Here is a 24,772-nt window from a genome sequence, read left to right on the forward strand (position 1 = left end):
TGTTACATTTTAGAGTTTTTTATATTTTATTCTTTCTAAATTAACTGATTTTAATTTCTAAACCAGAAAATTTTGGATTTGATCATCACCAAATTTCTTTTAACACAGACTTTTAACGTATTTGAGACTTACCCCTTTTAACTACATAAATACAACTTTTTGATATGGTGATGGTCATCTTGAGGCAAATTTATAGACATCAAAGAATGTTTATGCTTCTCATTAATTATATGTCACCAACTGTTTTTTTTTTATTCTGTCTTTAGCCAGCAATCTGTGAGTCAGTAAATTTTAAAATGTCAGACTGAGAATTAAATAATTTAAACCTGTATATTAACAAAAAATACCATGATGTCTAGAGGTCATCCAAGTGATCAACTGACTGAGTGGCTAAGATGTGAACATGCTTCTTAGGCCTCTAGGATATTCATTCATTTGCCTCAGGTGCTTTCAAATCATTCCATTTTAAAGGGAAGAAATATTTAAATAACTATGCATTTACTCATTTTTAAAATTATAAGTTAAACAGATGTTATTACTGCCTTTAACATTAACTCTGTGACCTTCTAGGTGAGAGGCCAACAAATTTTTTCTGCAAGAGGCCAGACGGTAATATTTTAGGACTTGAGACCCAGGTCTTTGTGGAGCTACTCAACTTTGCTTTTGTAGTGTGAAAGCAGCCATAGGCAGTACATAAATAAGCATGGCTGTGTTTCAACTGTATTTATAGACACTGAAATTTGAATTTTATGTAACTTTTTGCTGTCAAATATCTTTCCTCTTTTAGCATGTTTTGAACCATTTAAAAATGTAAAAACAATTCACACAGGCAATATAAAAACAGGTAGCAGATTGGACTTACTCCATGGGCTGAAGTTTGCCAACTTCTGCACTAAATGGTTCAATTCATTGGTTGGAAAAATCTGCTTTTGTAATTCATTCTTAAATTTCCCCAGTATCACATCTATCATACCACCCCAAAGTTCTTGCTAATCTGAGCTTATGCCTGATAACCAAAAGTGTTCAATTTGTTACCAGTAGCTCCTATATGACCCCTGTTATGTTGCTTCTCTACCCCATGTCACAAGTAGATTATGGAAGTAAATAAAAAGAAATTTCAACACTGTCTGCTGTGAAACTTGTCTTCGGTTGTGATTAGGTAATGTGGTATAAAGGAAATAAAACCAGGAGATGTGAAAACCAGGCTATATTCCTGGTTCTACCACTAATCAAAGTGATCAAGTTTGGTGGGCCTCTAAGGCTCCATTTTCTCACCTGCCCATCCTGACAGATTATTAAGAAGTTATAATAGCACATATGAAATTACTGGTAAGGTAACCTTAGCATTGCTATTTACCTTTATTGTCATTGTGGTAGTTAGTAGTTGTACTTTATTATTGCTCTTAAACTTGACTATGGCAGGGCTCCCTTCATATGTTAATATATCACTTAAAACTAGATATAGGTTAAGGATTGCACATTAATTTCCTCTAAGCATTTTGTGTTTCTTACTCTCACATTTTAAGCTACTCTAATCTCCTCGCTGTGGTACTTGTACCAGGTTCATTACTAACAGTAGTGTGAAATTTTATATTCTACATATTCTTTCTTACCACTACTCTGTGAGGGCAAAGACTGTCTGTTTTGTCCCTGCTACATCGCCAGCCCCCAAAATAGTGTCTGGAATATATTTGAGCACTTCTGAGTAAATCAGTGACATAAATAATCCCATATGTTCACTTGCCTTGAATTATCAAAAGGAGTAAACAAAGCTCAATAGAAATAAAATGTTTTAATGCATAAAATACATAAGATTATGAAAGATATCTACTTTGTTCAGTTTTACTGATATATAATTTATCCACAGACTCCTTGTGGGCCCATGGACCCTGTTTTTGTTTGTTTGTTTGTTTTTGTTTTTGTTTTTGAGTGGGCAGGTTGTGGGCGGGGTTTTTTTTCGAGACAAGGTCTTAGTCTGTCACCCAGGCACCATCATACCTCACTGCAGCCTGGAACTCCAGGCCTCAGGTGATCCTTCCACCTCAGCCTCCCAAATAGCTAGGAATGCAGGTGTGCAGCACCATGCCCGGCTAATTTTTTTTTTTTTTTTTTTTGGTAGAAACAAAGTTTTGCTATATCGCTGATCTCAAACTCCTGGCTTCAAGCGATTTTCCTACCTTAGCCTCCCAAAGTGCCAGAATTACAGGCATAAGCCACCATGCCCAGCCAGACCTTGGTTTTTGAAAATATGGAAGAATTTTTAATGAATATCAGGGGACACATTGTCCACAACTATAAATTGCAAAACTACTTTGATAGGATATAAAACAAATGCAAGCTTTATTTGGTCTTGTCTTTAAGAAATCCTCCCTCTGCACTTTTAAATTATAACAGAAAAAAACAATGGATTTTTAAACTTTTGGTTAAATTTCTTAAGATTACAAGAAGAAAAACAAATTTTGGCAAGCTTATACAAAAAGGGTATTTTCTGGGGAAATACTGGAGTTTCTAATGCAATTGGAAGGTGGGAAGGGAGGGAACAAAGATAGCTCTGGACAGTAGCTTTCTCCAGAGTGGAGCCAATGATAGAAATGCCCAGTCATGGGTGCAAATTTGAAAATATTAGAAGAGAAACCTGGCCGATCAAGCTTAGATCACAGATGCATGCCTCAACTGGTCAGCCAGAGCCAGAGAGTAGAAACTGTAGTAGATCTGTTAACAGTGAGATCCATTATTTGGTATGGGGATGAGCTACGAAACTACCCCAAGAGCTGTCTATAATGTAGTCTTATTAATCTGACTCCAGAAAGCAGTGCATTTATTTTATATTATTGATGTCTCAAGACAAAAAACTTTTTTTTTCTGTAGATTAGGTTTATTAGCACCAACTTCATGACTTCTAAAATGTGACTGCTTTCATGTCCAGATAGCTTGAATACAGGTATCTACCGTGATATGGGGTGGATAATTAATAATGCTTGGCTACTTATATAAAGACAGTGTTGCTTATTTTTCAAAACATTTTTTTAACAATTATATTCTTCCCTTCTCCCCAAGAGGTGGGCAGAAAAGCATTGTTAATCTCCTTTTACAGATGAGGAAAAACAAGATCAGAGGTGCTAAGTGCTGTAGCCTAGTGCTAGGTCTTCTGTCCCCAATTCTGGGTTCTCCCCAAGCCCGTGTTTCTCCTTTCTCACAATCTTTACTTCTTCCGCTGACCCTCAGCACCACCCAAAGTACTTTTAGTTCTGGAAAAGAAACCCAGCTGCACACTGGCACACTTGACCTTCATGCAGCCAGAAGCTTTGGATGGTTCCCCATCCAAAATATTAGAGATGAAATGAAAGCAAAATAGGCATCTGACAAAAGTTGCTTTTTCCCTTCTGCATTTTAGGACCTAAAGTAATGTTTATCCAGAAACTGCTGTCATACCATAGATTCATTGTACATTCAACAACATAAGCATACAATCTGGCAAATTAAAAATCTCTTAACCTACACCCCGGATCCCTGCCCAAATTTAAGAAAAGAACTAGGGTGGACACAGTGTTTTTTCCATGTCACGTCTTCTGTGATGGGGCTACGGTATGTGGGAGCAGAGAATGGGGTGGGTGGGTGAAGCGTATGCCAGATGAGGATCTATCAGCAATGGGAGGGATCCTCTGCTTTAGCATCTCCACCCCTGCTCCTCTCAGAGGATGGCCTTTCTTTGCATTCAGCTGTGATGGTAGCAAGAACACAGGCACACCAAAGATGAGGAGAGAGGGAGCCTTGTGCTCTCTCTCTGCATCTGAGGCAGGACAGCACAGGGTATGGAGCAGTCTGCAGAGAGGCCAGCTCATCAGCTCTTCATGGAAGCACTTGTCTTCCACCTTGGGCTTTGAGCGCTGGGCAACTGGCCCCTGGGGATCAATGGAATAATCCTAAGCAGACTTACTCTATGTCACACTATGGAATGTTCCAAGTAGGTGGCCATGTTTTCATAAGATGTCTTTTCCTCCTTTTGTTGTTGCCATTTCATATGTTTAGGATTGGATGTGTGTTTCTTCTCTCTGAATGGCACTCGAATGTTTGCTGAGTCCTATTCTGTATGACTGGGGCGTACAGCTGTGGACTGATGCATGCCATCCCATCATCTTTCATGATCAAAGCAGTCTCTTCTTTTTTGACAGCTGAAGAAACATCAAGTCACCCTTAGTCTGCCACTAATTTATTTCCTTCTTGCTTAAATGATGAGAGACATATAATCTCCACCCTCACGGAGTTGTCATTACCCTTCTTTTCAAGGGCCAGTTTCCCTTGCCTCCATAACTGTTGTTGGTACTGATGGCCAGGCTTCCAAACCTCTTAAAACTCCCCCGATAAAAAACATTTTACTCCAAATTGCAAGACAGCTTTGTCCATTGATGTGTATATAGACAATATAGACAAAATTAAGAATTTTAATATGTGCCAGATCACTCACTAGCGTATTAATACATAATTTAATATCATACAATATAGCCAGTATAGTGTAGTGGCAATATGGCATGGGACTTAAGAGTATAAGCCCTTGACCAGACTTGCATGGCTTAATGTCTTAGCCCTACCACTGGATGAGACCACTGGATAGGTCTCATCCAGGCTGGGCTCAGCTGGACTTGGTTCTTGGTAGGGGGTAAGTCTAGGTTCATATCACATATCTCTCATCTTCCTTGGATCAACGGATACCTGAGACATTTTTTTTTCTCAGTATGAACAGCAGGATTGCAAGGGAACAGACTAATCTGCATAAGCATATTTCAAAGTTCTACTTAGGTAATGTCTGCTATTATTCAATTAGCTAAGAGAAGTTACATAGCCGAGCCCAAAGTCAAAGCACAGAGAGGTGCACACTTTCTGTGGAGATGTGGTAGTGAAACAGATGGCAATCTATTCTACCACAGGGGATGATACAGTCATGCATCGCTTAATGACATGAGTACTTTCTGTATTGTTAGGCAATTTCCTCATTGTGTGAACAGCATAGAGTGTACCTACAGAAATCTAGATGTTATAGCCTACTGTACACTTACGCTATAGGGTATAGCCTATTGCTCCTAGGTTACAAACCTGTGCAGCATATTATTGTACTGAATACTGTAGAGAATTACAACATAATGGTATTTGTATATCTAAACAAAAAAGGTACAATAAAAGTAAGATATGAAAGATAAAAACTGGTACATCTGTATAGAAGATTTACCACGAATGGAGCTTGGAGGACTGGAAGTTGCTCTGAGTGAGTCAGTGAGTGAGTAGTGAGTGAATGCGAAGGCCTAGGACATTACTGTATACTAATGTAGACTTTATAAATAATGTAGACTTAGGCTACACTAAATTTATTTTAAAAGTTTTTTTCTACAATAACAAATTAACCTTAGTTTACTGTAACTTTTACTTTATAAACTTTAAATTGTTTAACTTCTTGATGCTTTTATAATAACACTTGGCTTAAAACACAAAGCACAATCATGTACAGCTGTGCAAAAATATTTTCTATTTATCCTTATCCTATAAGCTTGTTTCTATTAAATTTTTTTCTTTTTAAACTTTGTTGTTAAAAACTAAGACACAAACACACACATTAGGCTAGGCTTATGCAGGGTCAGGATCATCAGTATCGCTTTCCTCCACCTCCATATCTTGTCTCACTGGAAGGATCTCAGGGGCAGTAACCCACACGGAGCTGTCATCTGCTATGTAACAGTGCTTTCTTCTGGAGTACCTCCTGGAGGACCTGCCTGAGGCTGTTTTACAGTTAACTTTTTTTTTTAATAAGTAGAAGGAGTACACTCTACTATAACAATTAAAACATAGAGTATAGTAAATACTAGGCAATAGGAATTTTTTGACTTCATTATAATCTTATGGGATCATTGTCATATATGCAATTGATAGTTGACCAAAACAATATTATACAGCACATGACTAATAGAGAGTTGTAAGGTTAGTGTATGTAAAAAGCTTAAAATAGTTTCTGGTGCATAGAAAATGTCCAATAAACGTTTGCTATTATTAGGCATACAGAAACACACAAAAATTCAGTATTGTGTAACTGTAACATAAAATACATATTTGGCAAAGGTGTCACTAAGTGACACTTTTTCCTATCCTAAGCAAAAAGAACAAAAAACTGGGGAAATCACATTACCTAACTTCACATTATCCTACAAAGCTATAGTAACATTTAAACAAATAAACATGCTTAAGTTTAATTGAAAAGCTAGTGTGAGCCAACCTCTAGGATAGTCAAATATTATCACAATTATTTACTGTTAGCAGAATCAGAGAATGGCTAAAGATCACCAGGTTTTATCCACTCATTTGACAGATAATGAATCGAGCCAAAATGGCGAGATATGTAAGTCAAAGAGGAAGAAGTGGATGAATGGAGGATGGATAGATGAATAATAAATAGGTAAGTAGTTGATAGAAAAAGGAAAGGAAGGAAACCAACCTAGATCTCTAGAACTCTAGCTGAGAACTCTTCCCACTGTATCACACAGACCAGGTGTTTTTTCCTGTAGTTTATATAAATACTGTTTATCATATTTTTCTATCCTTCTGCCTTTCAATGAGCCTTAAAAGAAGAGATAATTTTAATAATAATATTTTTAAAAGTTCAACTATTGCTTCAATTGAGAGATGACTGTAGGACAAGATTTACTTAAAATGTAAAAATAACACAAAGCTAATCCTTACAGAGGCCTTCATTTGTCCACTTAGCTAATATTTATTCAGTTATTATTATCTGTTAGGCACTGGACTACAGAGCAAAAACAAAACAAATCTTTGTTCTTGTGAACATGCATTATGTGGAAGAGACAAGAAATTAACAAATTAATAAGTAGTATGTTCCACAGTCCCTTATCTGCAATTCTAATATCAAAAAGCTTGGGAAACTGGAAATTTTGACATTTCAAATAGTGGTAAAAGCTGAATCAGATTCATTTAGTAGTAAAGCTGATATGAGACTAGTCATAGTCTTATTTTTTATTTTAATTTTTGTGGGTACCTATGTGTATATATTTGTACGATATATGAAATGTTTTGATACAGGCATGCAACATGTAACAATCACATCATGTAAAATGGGATATTCATCACCTCAAGCATTTATCTTTTCTGTTACAATCAAATTATACTTTTAGTTTTTTTCTAAGACATCTTGTTATAACAATTTTTACTTATTTTAAATATACAATTAAATTACTATCAACTATAGTCACCCTGTTGTGCTATCAAATACTAGGACTTAATTCATTCTTTCTAGGAGTTTTTGTACCCATTAACCATCCCCACGTATCCCCAACCCTCCAACTACCCTTCCCAACATCTGGTAACCATCCTTCTCTCCTCTATCTCCATGAGTTCAATAGTTTTGATTTTTAGATCTCACACATAAGTGAAAACATGCTTTGTCTTTCTGTCCCTGGCTTAACTTAGCATAATGACCTCTAGTTCCATTCATGTTGTTGCAGATGACAACATCTTATTCTTTTTGATGACTGAATAGTACTTTATTGTGTGTCAGTACCACACTTTCTTATATTCATCTGTTGATGGACACTTAGGTTGCTTCCAAATTTTGGCTATTGTGAACAGTGCTGCAACAAACATGGGATTGCAGATAACTCTTCGATACGCTGATTTCTTTTGGGTATATACCCAGCAGTGAGATTACTGAATCATGTGGTAGCTCTATTTTTAGTTTTGAGGAACCTCCAGACTGTTCTCCATAGTGCTTTTAGTAATTTACATTCCTACCAAGACTGGGGTTCCGTTTTTTCCACATCCTTGCCAGCATTTGTTATTGCCTTTCTTTTGACTAAAAGCCGTTTTAACTGAGGTGAGATGATATCTCATTGTAGTTTGGATTTGCATTTCTCTAATTATCAGTGATGTTGAGCACTTTCTCATATGCATGTTTGCCATTTCCATGGCTTCTTTTGAGAAATGTTTACTCAAATCTTTTGCCCATTTTTTAATCAGATTATCAGATTTTTTCCCATAGAGTTGAGCTCCTTGTATATTCTAGTTATTAACCCCTAGTCTGATGGGTAGTTTGCAAATATTTTCTCCAATTCTTTGTGGTGTCTCTTCACTTTGTTGTTTCCTTTGCTGTGCAGAAACTTCTTAAGTTGATATGATCCCATTTGTCTATTTTTGTTTTGATTGCCTGTGCTCGTAGGGTATTACTCAATAAATTTTTATTCAGACCAATGTCTTGGAGATTTTTCCCCAATGTTTTCTTGTAGTAGTTTCATAATCTGAGGGTCTTAGGTTTAAATCTTTAATGTATTTCTATGTGATGTTTCTATATGGCTTGAAATAGCAGTCTAACTGCATTCTTGTGCATATGGATATTCATTTTCCCCAGCACCATTTATTGAAGAGACTGTCTTTTCCACGGTGTATGTTCTTGGCACATTTGTTGAAAATGAGTTTACTGTAGGTGTGTGAATTTGTTTCTGGGTTCTCTATTCTGTTCCGTTGGTCTACATGTGTGTTTTTATGTCAGTGCCATGCTGTTTTGATTACTATAGCTCTGTAGTATAATTTGAAGTCAGGTAATGTGATTTTCTCAGTTTTGTTCTTTTTGCTTAGGATAGCTTTGACTATTTTGAATTTTCTGTGGTTCCATATAAATTTTACAAAATTTATGTGTGTGTGTTTGAAGAATGTCATTGGTATTTTGATAGGGATAGACCTGATTCTGTAAATTGCACTGGGCAGTATGGACATTTTAATAATATTGATTCTTCCAATCCATGGACATGGAGTATCTTTCTGGTTTCTTTCGGTGTCCTCTTCAATTTCTTTCATCAGTATTTTATAATTTTCACCATAGAGATCTTTCACTTCTTTCATTAAGTTAATTCCTAGGTATTTATTTGTGGCTACTGTAAATAGGATTCCATTTTTAGTTTCTTTTTCAGATTGTTCACTGTTGCATTTTGAAATGCTACTGTTTTTTGTAGGTGGATTTTATATCCTGCAACTTTACTAAATTTGTTTATCAGTTTGAATAGTTGTGTGTATGTGTGTGTGTGTGTTTGGGGTCTTTACATTTTTCCAAATATAATATTATGTCATCTGCAAACAAGGATAATTTGACTTCTTTCCTTCCAATTTAGATGCCCTTTATTTCTTTCTCTTGTCTGGTTTTCTAGCTAGGACTTCCAGTACTATGTCGAGTAACAGTGAGAAAAGTGGCCATCCTTTTCATCTTCCAGATCTTATACAAAAGGCTTTTAGCTTTTCCATATTCAGTATGATGCTAGCTGTGAGTCTGTCATCTATGGTTTTTCTGATGCTAATGTACATTCTATATCCAGTTTTTTAATGGTGGATTATAAAGGGATGTTGAATTTTATCAACTGCTTTTTCACCATCAGTTGAAATGATCATATGGTTTTTGTCTTTCATTCTATTGATATGATACATCACATTGATTAATTTGTACATGTTGAACCATCCTTGCATCCCAGGGATAAATCCCACCTGGTCATGATGAATAATCTTTCTAATGTACTGTTGAATTTGGTTTGCTAGTATTTTGTTGAGGATTTTTGCATCACTATTCATCAGAAATACTGGCCTGTGGTTTTCTTTTTTTAATGTGTATTTGTCTATTTTTGGTATAAGGGTAATACTGGGCTCATAGAATGAGTTTGGAAGTATTCCCTTTTCTGTTTTTTGGAGTAGTTTGAGTAGTATTGGTATTCATTTTTTAAATATTTGGTAGAATTCAGCAGTGAAGCCATCAGTTTCTGGGCTTTTCTTTCCTGGGAGACTTTATTACAGCTTCAATCTCATTACTTGTTACTGGTTTGTTCAGGTTTTGGATTTCTTCATGGTTTAATCTTGGTATGTTGTATTTTTCTAGGAATTTGTCCATTTCTTCTAGATTTTCCAATTTATTGGCATATGGTTTCTCATAGGAGTAATTAATGATCATTTGAATTTCTGTCGTATCATTTGTAATGTCTCCATCTTCATCTCTGATTTTATTTATTTGGATCCTCTCTCTTTTTTTCCTAGTGTGGCCAAAAGTTTGTTAATTTTGCTTAACTTTTCAAAAAACTAACTTGTTTATTTCAATTTTATTTATTTATGCTCTGCTCTTTATTTTTTCTTTTACTTATTTTGGGTTTGGTTTGCTCTTGCTTTTCTAGTTCTTTAAGATGAATCTTTAGGTTGTCTATTTGAAGTTTTTCTTCTTTTTTCATGTAGGCACTTATGGCCGTAAACTTCCTTCTTAGTACTACGTTTGCTATATTCCATAGGTTTTGCTTGTTGTGTTTCCATTATCATTTGTTTCAATGAATGTTTCAATTTTCTTTTTAATTTCCTCATTGACCCACTGGTCATTCAGGAGCATATTGTTTAATTTCCATGTATTTGTACAGTTTACAAAATTCCTCTTATTATGGATTATGAGTTTTATTCCACTTTGGTCAGAGAACATGCTTGATATTATTTCAGTTTTTTGAATGTTTTAAGATTTGTTTTGTGACCTAATGTCTTCTCTTGAGAATCATCCATGTGCTGAGGAAAAAAATGTGTATTCTGCAGCCATTGGATGAACTGTTCTGTAAATGTCTATTAGGTCTATTTGGACTGTAGTGCAGATTGTCCAATGTTGCTTTGTTGATTTCTCCATCTGGACGATATGTCTCTGTCTGATACTGAAAGTATGGTGATGAAGCCTCTAGCTTTATTTTATTTATTTATTTATTTTTTGAGATGGAGTCTCGCTCCGTCACCAGGCTGGAGTGCAGTGGCACCATCTCGGCTCACTGCAACCTCTGCTTCCCAGGTTCAAGCAATTCTCCTGCCTCAGCCTCTTGAGTAGCTGGGACTACGGGTGCACGTTGCCACGCCTGGCTAATTTTTTTTTTTTTTTTTTTTTTTTTTTTTTTAGTAGAGACGAGGTTTCACCATGTTGCCCAGGCTGGTCTCAAATTCCTGAGCTCAGACAATCTGCTCACCTTGGCCTCCCAAAGTGCTAGGATTACAGGCGTGAGCCACCACACCTGGCTGCCTCTAGCTATTAGTGTATTGGGGCCTATCTCTATCTTTAGCTCTAATAATATTCGCTTTATAAATCTGGGTGTGTCAGTGTTGGGTGCATATGTATTTAAAATTGTTTTGTTTTGTTTTTTTGCTGAATTGACCCCTTTATCATAACATAGTGACTTTTTTTGTCTCTCTTATAGTTTTTGACTATAAATCTATTTTGTCTGATAAAAGTATGGCCACTCCTGCTCTTTTGGTTTCCATTGGCATGGAATATTTTTTTTTCCATCCCATTACTTTCACTCTATGTTTGTATTTATAGGTGAAGTGTATTTCTCATAGGCAACAGATCACAGGGTCTTGTCTTTTTTTTGTATCCATTCAGCAACTCAATGTCTTTTGATTGGAGAGGTTAGTCCACTTACATTCAGTTTCTTTATTGGTAAGTAAGGACTTACTCCTGCCATTTTGTTATTTGTTTTCTGGTTATTTTGTGGTCTTCTTTCCTTCCTGTCTTCCCTTCAGTGAAGGTGATTTTCTTGGGTCTTGCCTTTTATGTTTTGTGTATTAGTTGTATGTTTTTTTGGTTTGAGGTTACCAAGAGGTTTGCAAATACTATCTTATAACCCATTATTTTAAGCTGATAACAACTTAACACTGTTTACATAAACAAACAAACAAAAAACTAATAAACACTCTATGCCTTAACTTCATCCCCCTGTTTTTTTGACTTTCTGTTGTTTCCATTTATATTTTATTGTATTGTTTATGTCTTGAAAACTTGTTATGGTTATTTTTTATTTATTTTATTGGTTAATTATTTCATTTTTCTATTTAAGATAGGAGTAGTCTACACACCACAGTTACAGTGTTATAATATTCTGTGTTTTCCTGTGTATTTGCTATTACCAGTGAGTTTTGTACTTTCAGATGATTTGTTGCTTATTAATGTCCTCTTCTTTCTGATCAAAATACTCCCTTTAGCATTTCCTGCAGAAAGTTCTGGTGTTGATAAAATCCCTAAGCTTTTGTTTGTCTGGGAAAGCCTTTATTTCCTATTCATGTTTGAAGGATATTTTCACTGAATATACCATTCTAGAGTAAAAGTTTTTTCCTTCACCACTTTAAATATGTCATGCCATTCTCTCTTGGCCTGTGAAGTATGAAATGAAAATTCTGCTGTCAGATATATTGGAACTCCATTGTATGCTATTTCGTTTTTCTTGCTGCTTAGGATCCTTTCTTTATCCTTGACCTTTGGGAGTTCAATTATTAAATGCCTTAGGGTAGTCTTCTTTGGGTTAATTCTGCATGGTGTTCTATAACCTTCTTGTACTCTCGATATTGATATCTTTTATAGGTTTGGGAAGTTCTCTGTTGCTATTCATTTGAGTAAACTTTCTGCCTCTATCTCTTTCTCTACCTTCTCTTCAAGGCCAATAACTCGTAGATTTGCCATTTTGAGGCTATTTTCTTTTTTTTTTCATTATTATACTTTAAGTTTTAGGGTACATTTGCACAATGTGCAGGTTTGTTATGTATGTTCATATGTGCCATGTTGGTGTGCTGTACCCATTAACTTGTCATTTAGCATTAGGTATATCTCCTAATGCTATCCCTCCCCTCTCTCCCCACCCACAACAGTCCCCGGTGTGTGATGTTCCCCCTCCTGTGTCCATGTGTTCTCATTGTTCAATTCCCACCTATGAGTGAGAACATGTGGTGTTTGGTTTTTTGTCCTTGTGATAGTTTGCTGAGAATGATGGTTTCCAGCTTCATCCATGTCCCTACAAAGGACATAAACTCATCATTTTTTATGGCTGCATAGTATTCCATGGTGTATATGTGCCACATTTTCTTAATCCAGTCTACCATTGTTGGACATTTGGGTTGGTTCCAAGTCTTTGCTATTGTAAATAGTGCCGCAATAAACATACGTGTGCATGTGTCTTTATAGCAGCATGATTTATAATCTTTTGGGTATATACCCAGTAATGGGATGGCTGGGTCAAATGGTATTTCTAGTTCTAGATCCCTGAGGAATCGCCACACCGACTTCCACAATGGTTGAACTAGTTTACAGTCCCACCAGCAGTGTAAAAGTGTTCCTATTTCTCTACATCCTCTCCAGCACCTGTTGTTTCCTGACTTTTTAATGATCACTATTCTAACTGGTGTGAGATGGTATCTCATTGTGGTTTTGATTTGCATTTCTCTGATGGCCAGTGATGGTGAGCATTTTTTCATGTGTGTTTTGGCTGCATAAATGTCTTCTTTTGAGAAGTGTCTGTTCATACCCTTGACCCACTTTTTGATGGGGTTGTTTGTTTTTTTCTTGTAAATTTGTTTGAGTTAATTGTAGATTCTGGATATTAGCCCTTTGTCAGATGAGTAGGTTGCAAAAATTTTCTCCCATTCTGTAGGTTGCCTGTTCACTCTGATGGTAGTTTCCTTTGCTGTGCAGAAGCTCTTTAGTTTAATTAGATCCCATTTGTCAATTTTGGCTTTTGTTGCCATTGCTTTTGGTGTTTTAGACAGGAAGTCCTTGCCCATGCCTATGTCCTGAATGGTATTGCCTAGGTTTTCTTCTAGGGTTTTGATGGTTTTGGGTCTAACATGTAAGTCTTTAATCCATCTTGAATTAATTTTTGTATAAGGTGTAAGGAAGGGATCCAGTTTCAGCTTTCTACATATGGCTAGCCAGTTTTCCCAGCATCATTTATTAAATAGGGAATCCTTTCCCCATTGCTTGTTTTTCTCAGGTTTGTCAAAGATCAGGTAGTTGTAGATACGCGGCATTATTTCTGAGGGCTCTGTTCTGTTCCATTGGTCTATATCTCTGTTTTGGTACCAGTACCATGCTGTTTTAGTTACTGTGGGCTTGTAGTATAGTTTGAAGTCAGGTAGCATGATGCCTCCAGCTTTGTTCTTTTGGCTTAGGATTGACTTGGCAATGTGGGCTCTATTTTGGTTCCATATGAACTTTAAAGTAGATTTTTCCAATTCTGTGAAGAAAGTCTTTGGTAGCTTGATGGGGATGGCATTGAATCTATAAATTACCTTGGGCAGTGTGGCCATTTTCACCATATTGATTCTTCCTACCCATGAGCATGGAATGTTCTTCCATTTGTTTGTGTCCTCTTTTATTTCCTTGAGCAGTGGTTTGTAGTTCTCCTTGAAGAGGTCCTTCACATCCCTTGTAAGTTGGATTCCTAGGTATTTTATTCTCTTTGAAGCAATTATGAATGGGAGTTCACTCATGATTTGGCTCTCTGTCTGTTATTGGTGTATAAGAATGCTTGTGATTTTTGCACATTGACTTTGTATCCTGAGACTTTGCTGAATTTGCTTATCAGCTTAAGGAGATTTTGGGCTGAGACAATGTGGTTTTCTAGATATACAATCATGTCCTCTGCAAACAGGGATGATTTGACTTCCTCTTTTCCTAATTGAATGCCCTTTATTTCCTTCTCCTGCCTGATTGCCCTGACCAGAACTTCCAACACTATGTTGAATAGGAGTGGTGAGAGAGGGCATCCCTGTCTTGTGCCTGTTTTCAAAGGGAATGCTTCCAGTTTTTGTCCATTCAGTATGATATTGGCTGTGGGTTTGTCATAGATGGCTCTTATTATTTTGAGATACGTCCCATCAATCCCTAATTTATTGAGAGTTTTTAGCATGAAGCATTGTTGAATTTTGTCAAGGGCCTTTTCTGCATCTATTGAGATAATCATGTGGTTTTTGTCTTTGGCTCTGTTTATATGCTGGATTACGTTTATTGATTTTCGTATGATGAACCGGCCATGCATCCCAGGGATGAAGCCCACTTGATCATGGTGGATAAGCTTTTTGATGTGTTGCTGGATTTGGTTTGCCAGTATTTTATTGAGGATTTTTGCATCAATGTTCATCAATGATATTGGTCTAAAATTCTCTTTTTGCTGTGTCTCTGCCAGGCTTTGGTATCAGGATGATGCTGGCCTCATAAAATGAGTTAGGGAGGATTCCCTCTTTTTCTGTTGATTGGAATAGTTTCAGAAGAAATGGTACCAGCTCCTCCTTGTACCTCTGGTAGAATTCGGCTGTGAATCCATCTGGTCCTGGACTTTTTTTAATTGGTAAGCTATTAATTATTGCCTCAATTTCAGAGCCTGTTATTGATCTATTCAGAGATTCAACTTCTTCCTGGTTTAGTCTTGGGAGAGTGTATGTGTCAAGGAATTTATCCATTTCTTCTAGATTTTCTAATTTATTTGCATAGAGGTGTTTATAGTATTCTCTGATGGTAGTTTGTATTTCTGTGGGATCGCTGGTGATATCCCCTTTGTCATTTTTTATTGCGTCTATTTGATTCTTCTCTCTTTTCTTCTTTATTAGTCTTGCTAGTGGTCTATCAATTTTGTTGATCTTTTCAAAAAACCAGCTCCTGGATTCATTGATTTTTTTGAAGGGTTTTTTTGTCTCTATTTCCTTCTGATCTTAGTTATTTCTTGCATTTTGAGGCTATTTTGCAGCCTGCTTTGCTTCATTGTTTTTTCTTTTCTTTCTTTTTTTTTTGTCTTTTCTGTGTATTTTCAAACAGCCTATCTTCAAGCTCATTAATTCTTTATTCAGCTTGATCACACCTGCTATTAATGGACTTTGATGCATTTTTCAATATGGCAGTTGCATTTTTCAGCTCCAGAATTTCTGCTTGATTCTTTGTAATTATTTCAATCTCTTTGTTAAGCTAATCAGATAGGATTCTGAATTCCTTCTCTGTGTTATCTTGAATTTCTTTGACTTTCCTCAGCACAGCCATTTTGAATTCTCTGTCTGAAAAGTCACATATCTCTGTTTCTCCAGAATTGGTCCCTGGTGCCTTATCTATTTCATTTGGTGAGGTCATGTTTTCCAGGATGGTGTTGATGCTAGTAGATGTTCTTTGATGTCTGGGCATTTAAGGGTTAGGTATTTATTATAGTCTTCACTTTCTGTACTTACTCGTAGCTGTCCTTCTTGGGAAGGCTTTCCAGATATTCAAAAGGACTTGATTGTTGTGATCTAAGTGTTGTGATCTAAGCTGTATCTGCTTTAGGGGCACCACAAGCCTGGTAATGCTATAGTTCTTACAGACTCATAAAGGTACTGCCTTGATGGTCCTGGACAACATCCAGAAGGATTATCTGGATTACCAGGCATTGACTCTTGTTCTCTTTCCTCACGTTCTCCAAATGAATGGAGTCTGTCTGTCCCACCCCACCCCCATCTCTGTCTCTGTCTCTGTCTCTCTCTCTCTGTTCTAGGCCATCTGGAGCTGGGAATATTGTGACATAACCACCTCTGTGGCCGTCACCACTAGAACTGTACTAGGCCAGACCTGAAGCCAGCACAGCACTGGGTCTCACCTGAGGCTTGCTGTAACCACTCCTGGGCTTCAGCCTGTGTTCACTCAAGGCTTTAGGGCTCAACAATCAGCAGGTGACAAAGCCAGCCAGGCCTGTATCCTTCACTTCAGAGTGGCGGGTTCCCCAAGTCCCTGGGCATGTCCAGAGGTGCCATGCAGGAGCCAGGGACTAGAGTAAAAAAATCTCAGAAGTCTACCTGGTGTTCTATTGTACTGTGGCTAAGCTGGCACTGAACTCAAAAGATGTAGTCCTCCCCACTCTTCCCTTCCCTTTTTAAAGGCAGAAGAGCCTCACCCTATGGCTACCGCTACCACATCTCCACAGGGAGTGCTGTACCACTGATGTTCCCTTAAGGCCCAAGGGCTCTTCAGTCAGCTTGTGTTGCATGCTGCCTGGCCTAATACTCACCCTTCAGGGCAGCAGGCTGTCCTCTGACCCAGAGCAGGTCCAGAAATTCTATTCAATAGCCAAGTCCTGGAACCTGGGACCCCAATAACCTGCTTGGTGCTCTGACCCCTGTGGCTCAGCTGGTAACTAAGGTACAAGACAAAGTTCCCTTTGCTTTTCCCTTTGATTTTCTCAAGAAGAAGGAGTCTCACCCTGTACCCACCACAACTAGGAATGTGCTTAGTCTCACCTGAAGCCAGCAAGTCTCAGAGTCTCACCCAAGGCCCTCAATGTAGTACCTGGGTATTACTGCTGGTTGTTCAGGGCCCAAGGTCTCTTCAGTTAGAAGGTGATGAATGCTGCCAGGACTGGGTTCTTCCGTTCAAGGCAGCAGGTTGCCTTGTTGCCCAGGGTGTGTCTAGAAATGTCATTCACTAGCAAGATCTGGAAAGGGGACTTCATAACTCTAACTGGTGCCCTACCCTGCTGTGGCTGAGCTGGTATCCAAGATCCCAGAGTCCTCTTTATTCTTCCTTCTTCTCTCCTTAAATGGAGTGAGTGGGTCTTTTTTGGAGCCACCAGCTGTATAGCCTGTGGTTAGGAGGAGGTGATGCCAGCACTCCCTTCCCCACCCTGGCTGGTGTCTCAGTAAGTCACATACCCCCCTCCTCCAGTCCACTGTCTCTGGCCCAAGTTCAACACTAGGACTTGCCTTGGAGTTGCAGTCCTTATGGCCTAGCCTGCCTTTCCAGTTTATTTTGGGCCACAGAACACTTTAGCCTGCACTGATGAGGCTTGCAGGAACTCAAGTTTGGACCACTGGGATTGGCGATTCCTTTCTGGCTAAACAGGCCTGGTTAAAATGCTCCTTTTTTGGGTGGACATCAGCTGTGTTTGGTCTACTTTTGTTTTCTGTTATAATAGGGCAGCACTGAGCTCAGTGCCTCATAAATGCTACAATCTCCCTGTCTCCAGCACACCAAACACTCTCCACACCATGCCTCTGCTGCTGCGGGAGAGGTGGCATCAGCTATTTAAGACTGTTTTTCCTACCTGTTCAGTGCCTCATTAGTGATATGAAGTTAAAGCCAGGTACTGTGAGTGCTCACCTGATTTTTGAGTCTTATGAAGGTGCTTTTTTTTGTGTAGATAGTTATTGAATTGATGTCCTTGCTTGGAGGGACAATCAGTGGAGATTTCTATTCTGCCATCTTGCCCTGCTTCAAGTTATAGTCTTTAAAAAATCTCACTTAGAATGAATATATGTTTTACTGCAAGGCTGTTAACATGTTTGACTTCAGGGTGCTTTCCCAGACGTCTTGGATGGGAGGGGAGAAGGGTAGGAGATGTTGCATAATTATAGTATATGTACTATATTACCTTAAAAATACCAAAAATACTTAATTCCAAATGACATCTGGCTTCACCGGGATTGTGGGGCTACATAATATCTAGGAATTATAAATACTGTGAATGGAAATGAAGCAGGTATGGATATAGAGAATGAAGGCCAATGGTGAAGAGGGTAAAAGTTGGAGGCGGAGGTTTTTTAGCTAGACTGGTGAGAGAATCCTCTCTGGGAAGTGATATTTGAGAAGATCCAGAAACAATCCAGAAGCTTTCAAGGAAAAAGAGTGTTTTAGTCAGTGGGAACAGACATGTCGTTATCTAAAGAGACATTCCAATCTGAGAGAAGACAAAGGTCAAAGACTTAAATCAAGAGTGTGCTTAGCATGTTTGAAGAAGAACATGAAGGCCACTAAGGCTACAGAATACGAAACAAGAGGAAGAGTGATCAGATAGGCTTTCAGAAAGGTAACCAGGATCCAAGTCCTTGCCTTAGATGTTATGGAAAGTCTTTGGGGGATTTTGAACAAGGGAGTCTTAAATTCAGTTTTCTTTTTAAAAATGTCATTCTGTTGCTCTATAGATAATTTTTAAAAATCATTCTTTTGTTACGTGGATAGTAGAGTAGTAGATGGTTGCAGTGGTGAGGATTGGAAAAGATAAGTGATCATGACAATGGATGAAACTCAGAAATTTAATGATGTGTGATCATATAGATACTTTTTTTGTTTTTTTCAAGAAAGCGTCTCACTGTTACCTAATTGGAATGCAATGGCATGATTGTAGTGCATTGCAGCCTCGACCACCTGGGCTCAAGTGATCCTCCTGGTGGAGGCTCCCGAGTAGCTAGGGCTATAGTATAGCATGCAATACCATATCTGACTTTTTTTCTTTTTTTTTTTTTTGGTAGAGACATAGTCTCACTATGTTGCCAACACTGTATAGATACTTTTTAATAAAATAATGTCCTATATTATATTTTAACAAAATAATATCTTTTAGGTATCTGTTGCGTGAATGGTATGCTATGAATTGATAATCTAAATATTTTGGTTTTTGTTCTAGATTTTTCCCTAAGTGTTAGAGCTAAGAAATCAGCTTGGTCATTATAGTGCTCTTGCCAGTCTCCTTCTCTTTTCTCAAAGAGGGAAAGAGCCCCAGCTAGAGGAAAGAGCCCCCAAACTTGGAGTAAAAAGAACTGTTTTCTCATCTCCGATCTGCCACTGACTATAACGTTGTTTATTTAACCTCTTTTGATTTTGGTTTTCTGTACTGTAAAGTGGATTGAATTACCTGATTGATATAGCTCTTTTTGAATCTTCAGTCTTAAATTTAACAAGCCCTTTCTGTTAGAGTCTAAAATTCTATGATTTTAAATGAGACTGCATAAAAATCTCAAAACTTCCTTAAATATGAATGTAAAAGAATACAGAATAACTGGATGTGTTCAAAATTGGTAAATTCACCCTGGTATCGTTTTTAACAGGACCAAGGAAATAAATACCAGAAATCAAGAAGAGCACACACTATTTTCCTTCATCAATCCATAGAACCCTAATGCTTCTTTAGTTCCATCAAACACAGAGGAATGACCACCATGGCAGATGGCAACAGAGGATGTCAACAATTTTTTGGAGGCAAGCAATGAAATATTTCTACTATGAGTTTTCTGTTATTAATCATGTAGACACAAGTAGAATTATATTGGGTTTTAATTTAAAATGAAAAGTATTATTTCCTGTAGGAATTTATGTATGCATGTCTTTTTCTTTATTTTCTTTTTTTCCTCTTTTAACACTATAGCATGTCAAAAATTACATTAAGATGCATTTGCCCTTACCTCTAGAGTAACAGATAGAATAAGGCTATCTTAAATCCTGAAATACAGAACAAGGATTTAAATAACCAAAATTAAGTACCTATATTTGAAAGCAGGGCTTTTTCATATCTCTCTTGGACACATATATAACTGTAAATACTAAATAAAATTGGAAATCAGAATTATTTTCTATTTATTTTAGAGTTAGTCATACTATTTATGAGTTTTATATAGTTAAAGGTAGCCCAGCATTTTTCCTCCCTTTTCTTTAACAACTAATCTACAGTGCTCCAAAATCTTGGAAAGCTATCCCTTTAAAACTCTCACAGCTTTACATTTTGTGAAAATTCTGCATCAAAATATTTCATTGAACTTTTAGTTAATTCCATGACAGCTCCTATTGCTCCCAAAGAGCATCTGGGCAAGGATTGTGGACCACAATGCCACCTTCAAATTTCAAATTGATTACATTACCTTTAAAAGAAAAGCTTGCTTGGAAAGAAATTGACCATATATATTTTTAAGTGTATAAGGAATCTGGCTTTTTTTCTACATTCATGAAAAATATAGACTTAAGTAGATGAAAATAAAACAAAATAAAAATATACACTTTTAAAATTTTAAGTAGAATTCACTGAAATGTAATCTTTCAAGGGATTTCATACAAAGAAACTATATATATATGCTTAGAATTTTTTATTTAGTGTTAATTCAACTCATCAGCCTGAGGTCATCCATGAAAACGTGTCTGCTTTTTAAGTTTCACATAAGAGGAATGCTTTCTATAAATAAAGACAATGATAAATGTTTAAAAAGCCCAGTGTAGAGATTCTGAGTTTTCTTTCAGTAACTAGAGTCAAAATTAATTCTTGCTTTTCTGTTGGGGAAAATTTCATCTAATTACATTCAATTTATTCTGCAACTTTTTGGACAGCAAATCCTGATCACCAAAGAAAAAGCAGCTGTGTTGCCTTTGCCTCACAATTATAACAATAGTATTATTATGCAGTCAACAGAGTTTATGGAACCATGAAGTGGTTATATCCACTGGCTGTTTTCTGGCAGAGACACACCTAAACCTTTCTGAACTGCTGATAATGTATGCCTTCTATTTCTAAGGATCTTCAAAGAAATAGATTCCACTGCTTCCTTCAGCAAGCCAATTTAGTATAACAGCTCTCAGAAGCAGAAAATTCTTTCTTATAACCCTTTATGCACTTTTATTAACTGTTTCTAAAACTTATTTTCCTGGAATTGCATTTTAAATATTATTTAAATATTTTCTTAGTTTGGTATAATCCACTTAACTATTTTTAAAAACTACTAAAAATTGATCATTGTTTAATTAGTAGAAATATTCTCATAAACCATGCTTCCTCATAAGTAGTCTACGTTTCTCCCTTGGTATCTGCAAGGGATTGACTCCAGAACCCCCTATGAATACCAAAATCCAGGAATGTTCAAGTCCCTTATATGAAATAGTGCAGTTTTTGCATATAACTCACACCTATGCTCCTTATACTTTAAATCATCTCTATATTACTTATACTACCTAATACAACCTAAATTCTAGGTAAATAGCTGTTATATTTTTTATTCTGATTATTTTTTATTGTTGTCATGTTATTTGTATTGTCTTTTTTCTGAATGTATTTGATCCAAGCTTGCTTGAATTTTTAGATGCAAAACTTGTGAATACAGAAGACTGACTATACTATCAAATTTCTTTTTCTTACATTTCCTTTCCTAACTCATCCACACATATATTATTTTGAGCTTCAGTTATTCTTTAACCATCAGACTGTATCAATGGTATATAGCTTTAACTTATTAAGAATCAAGCCCTTTGTTTTTTATTAATTTCATTCTATTTGTGACCATGTAATTAATAAGCCACAGATATTTATAATTCTAATCCAAAGTGCTATTTCATTTATTTTCCACATTTTTAGGGAAAGTTATACTGGCAAAAACTTTTAGAGGTTAGAAAGGCAGTTGAACGTAGCAGGTATGATTTATAAGAATGCTACAGGCATACCTCAGAGATATTGCAGGTTTGGTTCCAGACTACCACAATAAAGCAAGCCATACATTTTTTTCCCAGTGCATATACAAGGTATCTTTGCACTATACTGTAATCTATTCAGTGTGTAATTGCATCATGTCTTTAAAAAACAATGCACATGCCTTAATTTTAAAATAGTTTTCTAAAAAAGGGGGAGTGTTTTGGGGGGTGGCGGGGACAGGCTCTTACTCTCTCTTCCAGGCTGGAGTCCAGTGGTGCAATCATGGCTCACTGCTGCCTTGACTTCCTGGACTCAAGTGATTCTCCCACCTCAGCCTCCCGAATAGCTGGGAATACAGGCATGCGCTATCACACCAGGCTAATTTTTATATTTTTTGTAGAGACAGGGTTTTGCCATGTTGCCCAGGCTGGTCTTGAACTCCTGGGCTCAAGCGATCTGCCTGCCTCAGCCTCCCAAAGTGCTGGGATTACAGGTATAAGCCACCATACTGGCCTCCTTTTGATAGTGAAAGGTCTTACCTGGATGTTGATGGTTGCTAACATCCAGGCAAGACCCTTTATTATGGCTGAAGATTGGGATGGCTGTGGCGATATATTGAAATAAGACAGCAAGGAATATTGCCACATCAATTGACTTGACTTGACAAAGTAAATTGGTTTTCAATTTACTTTGCCCAGATTGGTCAGAGGATTCACTATTTGTATTTGTAAGGCAGATACTATTTGTAAGGCAGATACAGCCTTAAAAAATACATTTCTTAAGTAGACTTGAAAGTCGATGGACTTTTCAAGTTAGAAGAGTTGATCCATGGACTACAGAAGGAATGTTATGTTGACAAGCATGAGAACAGCATGAATCTCCTTGTATATCTTCATCACAGCTCTTGGATGACTAGGTATACTATAAGTGAGTATAATTTTTCCAAAGGAGTATTTTTTTTCTGGGCAGTAGGTCTCAACAGCAAACGTAAAATAGTCAGCGAATCATGCTGCAAACAGATATGCTGTCCTCTAGGCTTTGTTGTTTCATTTATAGAGCACAGGCAGAGTAGATTTAGCATAATTCTTAAGGGCCCTGGGATTATTTGAATGGTAAATGAGCATTGGCTTGAACCTAAAGTCACCAACTGCATTAGTCTCTAAAAAGAGAATCAGTGGTTCCTTTGAAGCTTTGAAGTGGGACATTGACTTTTCTTCTAGTTACGAAAATCCCAGGTGGCATCTTCTTCCAATTGAAGGCTGTTGTATCTACACTGAAAATCTGGTGTTTAGCATAGTCACCTTCATCAATGATTTTAGCTAGAGCTTCTAGATCACTTGCTGCAGCTTCTCCATCACTACTTCCTGCTTCACTTTGTACTTCTATGTTGTGTAGACAACTTCTTTCCTTAAACCTCATGAATCAACTTGCTCTGCTAGTGTCAAACTTTTCTTCTGCAGCTTCCTCACCTCTCTCAGCCTTCATAGAACTGAAGAGAGTTAGGGCCTTTCTCTGGATTCAGCTTTGGCTTAAATAAATGTTGTAGTCAGTTTGATCTTCTATCCATGCCACTAAAAGTTTGTCTGTATCAGCAACAAGGCTGTTTTTCTTTCTTATCATTCATGTATTCACCATAGTAGCACTTTTAATTTGCTTCAAGAGCTTTTCCTTTGCATTCACAATTTGGCTAACTGTTGGGCGCAAGATGCCTGGCTTTCAGCTTGTCTTGGCTTTTGACATGTCTTCCTTACAGTGCTTCATTATTTCTAGCCTTTGATTTGAACTGAGAGACATGTGACTCTTCCTTTCATGTGAACACTTAGAGGCAATTATAGGTTATTACTTAGCCTAATTACAATATTGTATTTTCGGGGATTGGGAGGCCCAAGGAGAGGGAGAGAGACGGGGAAACAGCCAGGCATTGGAGTATTCAGAACACACATTTATCAGTTAAGTGTGCTCTCTTATGTTCAGGCAGTTCGTGGCACCCCAAAACAATTACAGGAGAAACATCAAAGATCACTGATTACAGATCACCATAACAGATATTATAATGAAAAAGTTTGAAATATTGTGACAGTTATCAAAATGTGACTCAGAGTCATGAAGTGAGCACATGCTGTGTGTGAAAACGGCACCGATGGACTTGCTCAGTGCAGAGTTGTCACAAAACTTCAATTTGCCAAGTACAATAAAACAAAGCACAAGAAAATGAGGTATGCCTACATTTAAGAACTCAAATTCACAGAACTGATTAAGGCTGATTTATTAACCACAACCGTGCATTCTACCAGCTGTGTGACCATGGGCAAATTGTTGATTTTTTTCACCCCCAATTTGTATATCTTTAAAATTTGAGTGCTAATAATAATATAACTGTGAGGATTAAATGGAATAGATAATATAAGTAATAAGCTTAGGTTCTTAGCACTGCCTAACATGTAATTCAATAAACAGATGACATAGTTATCCCACTCTGCAAAATAATTGAAAACAGGTTTCTTCATAGCAAGCTCAATTCTTAAAAAAGAACAATGAATTTGCTCATTCTATTTATGCCAAACTTGTTTTACATCATTGTTTCTGTTTTACTGCTGCTAAATTTTGTTCACATTGAAGTGTCCAAACAAGCAGTTTAGAGTTCATGTTTAAAAATATGAAAATGTGATTTATCCAGAAACCACATTAGAAAACATTATACCAATGGTTATTAATCTGAGTCTCATAGAAACTATGTACATTCCAAATTTTGTTTAAAAATGTAGGGTATGCATGGACTGTTC

General features: G+C 37.0%; 1 protein-coding gene across 26 annotated transcripts in view; it reads left to right on the top strand.

Annotated features, from left to right (window-relative positions):
* Window positions 1-24,772, top strand: part of MBD5 (methyl-CpG binding domain protein 5) — a 496,045-nt gene that overhangs the window by 192,668 nt on the left and 278,605 nt on the right. For 17 of the 26 annotated variants that reach the window (XM_047445068.1, XM_047445088.1, NM_018328.5 and 14 more), the window contains one exon: window positions 19,651-19,801. The exons of 6 other annotated variants lie outside the window; for them this stretch is intronic. The gene's annotated coding sequence lies outside the window, so the exon portion shown is untranslated. Of the gene's footprint in view, window positions 1-6,352; window positions 6,440-19,650; window positions 19,802-24,772 lie in introns of all 26 variants that reach the window. 3 more of the 26 variants (XM_047445056.1, XM_047445079.1, NM_001438857.1) reach the window with 1 other exon arrangement.

Source organism: Homo sapiens, chromosome 2 (genome assembly GCF_000001405.40).
Source record: "Homo sapiens chromosome 2, GRCh38.p14 Primary Assembly".
In the NCBI taxonomy this organism is placed as follows: domain Eukaryota; kingdom Metazoa; phylum Chordata; class Mammalia; order Primates; family Hominidae; genus Homo; species Homo sapiens.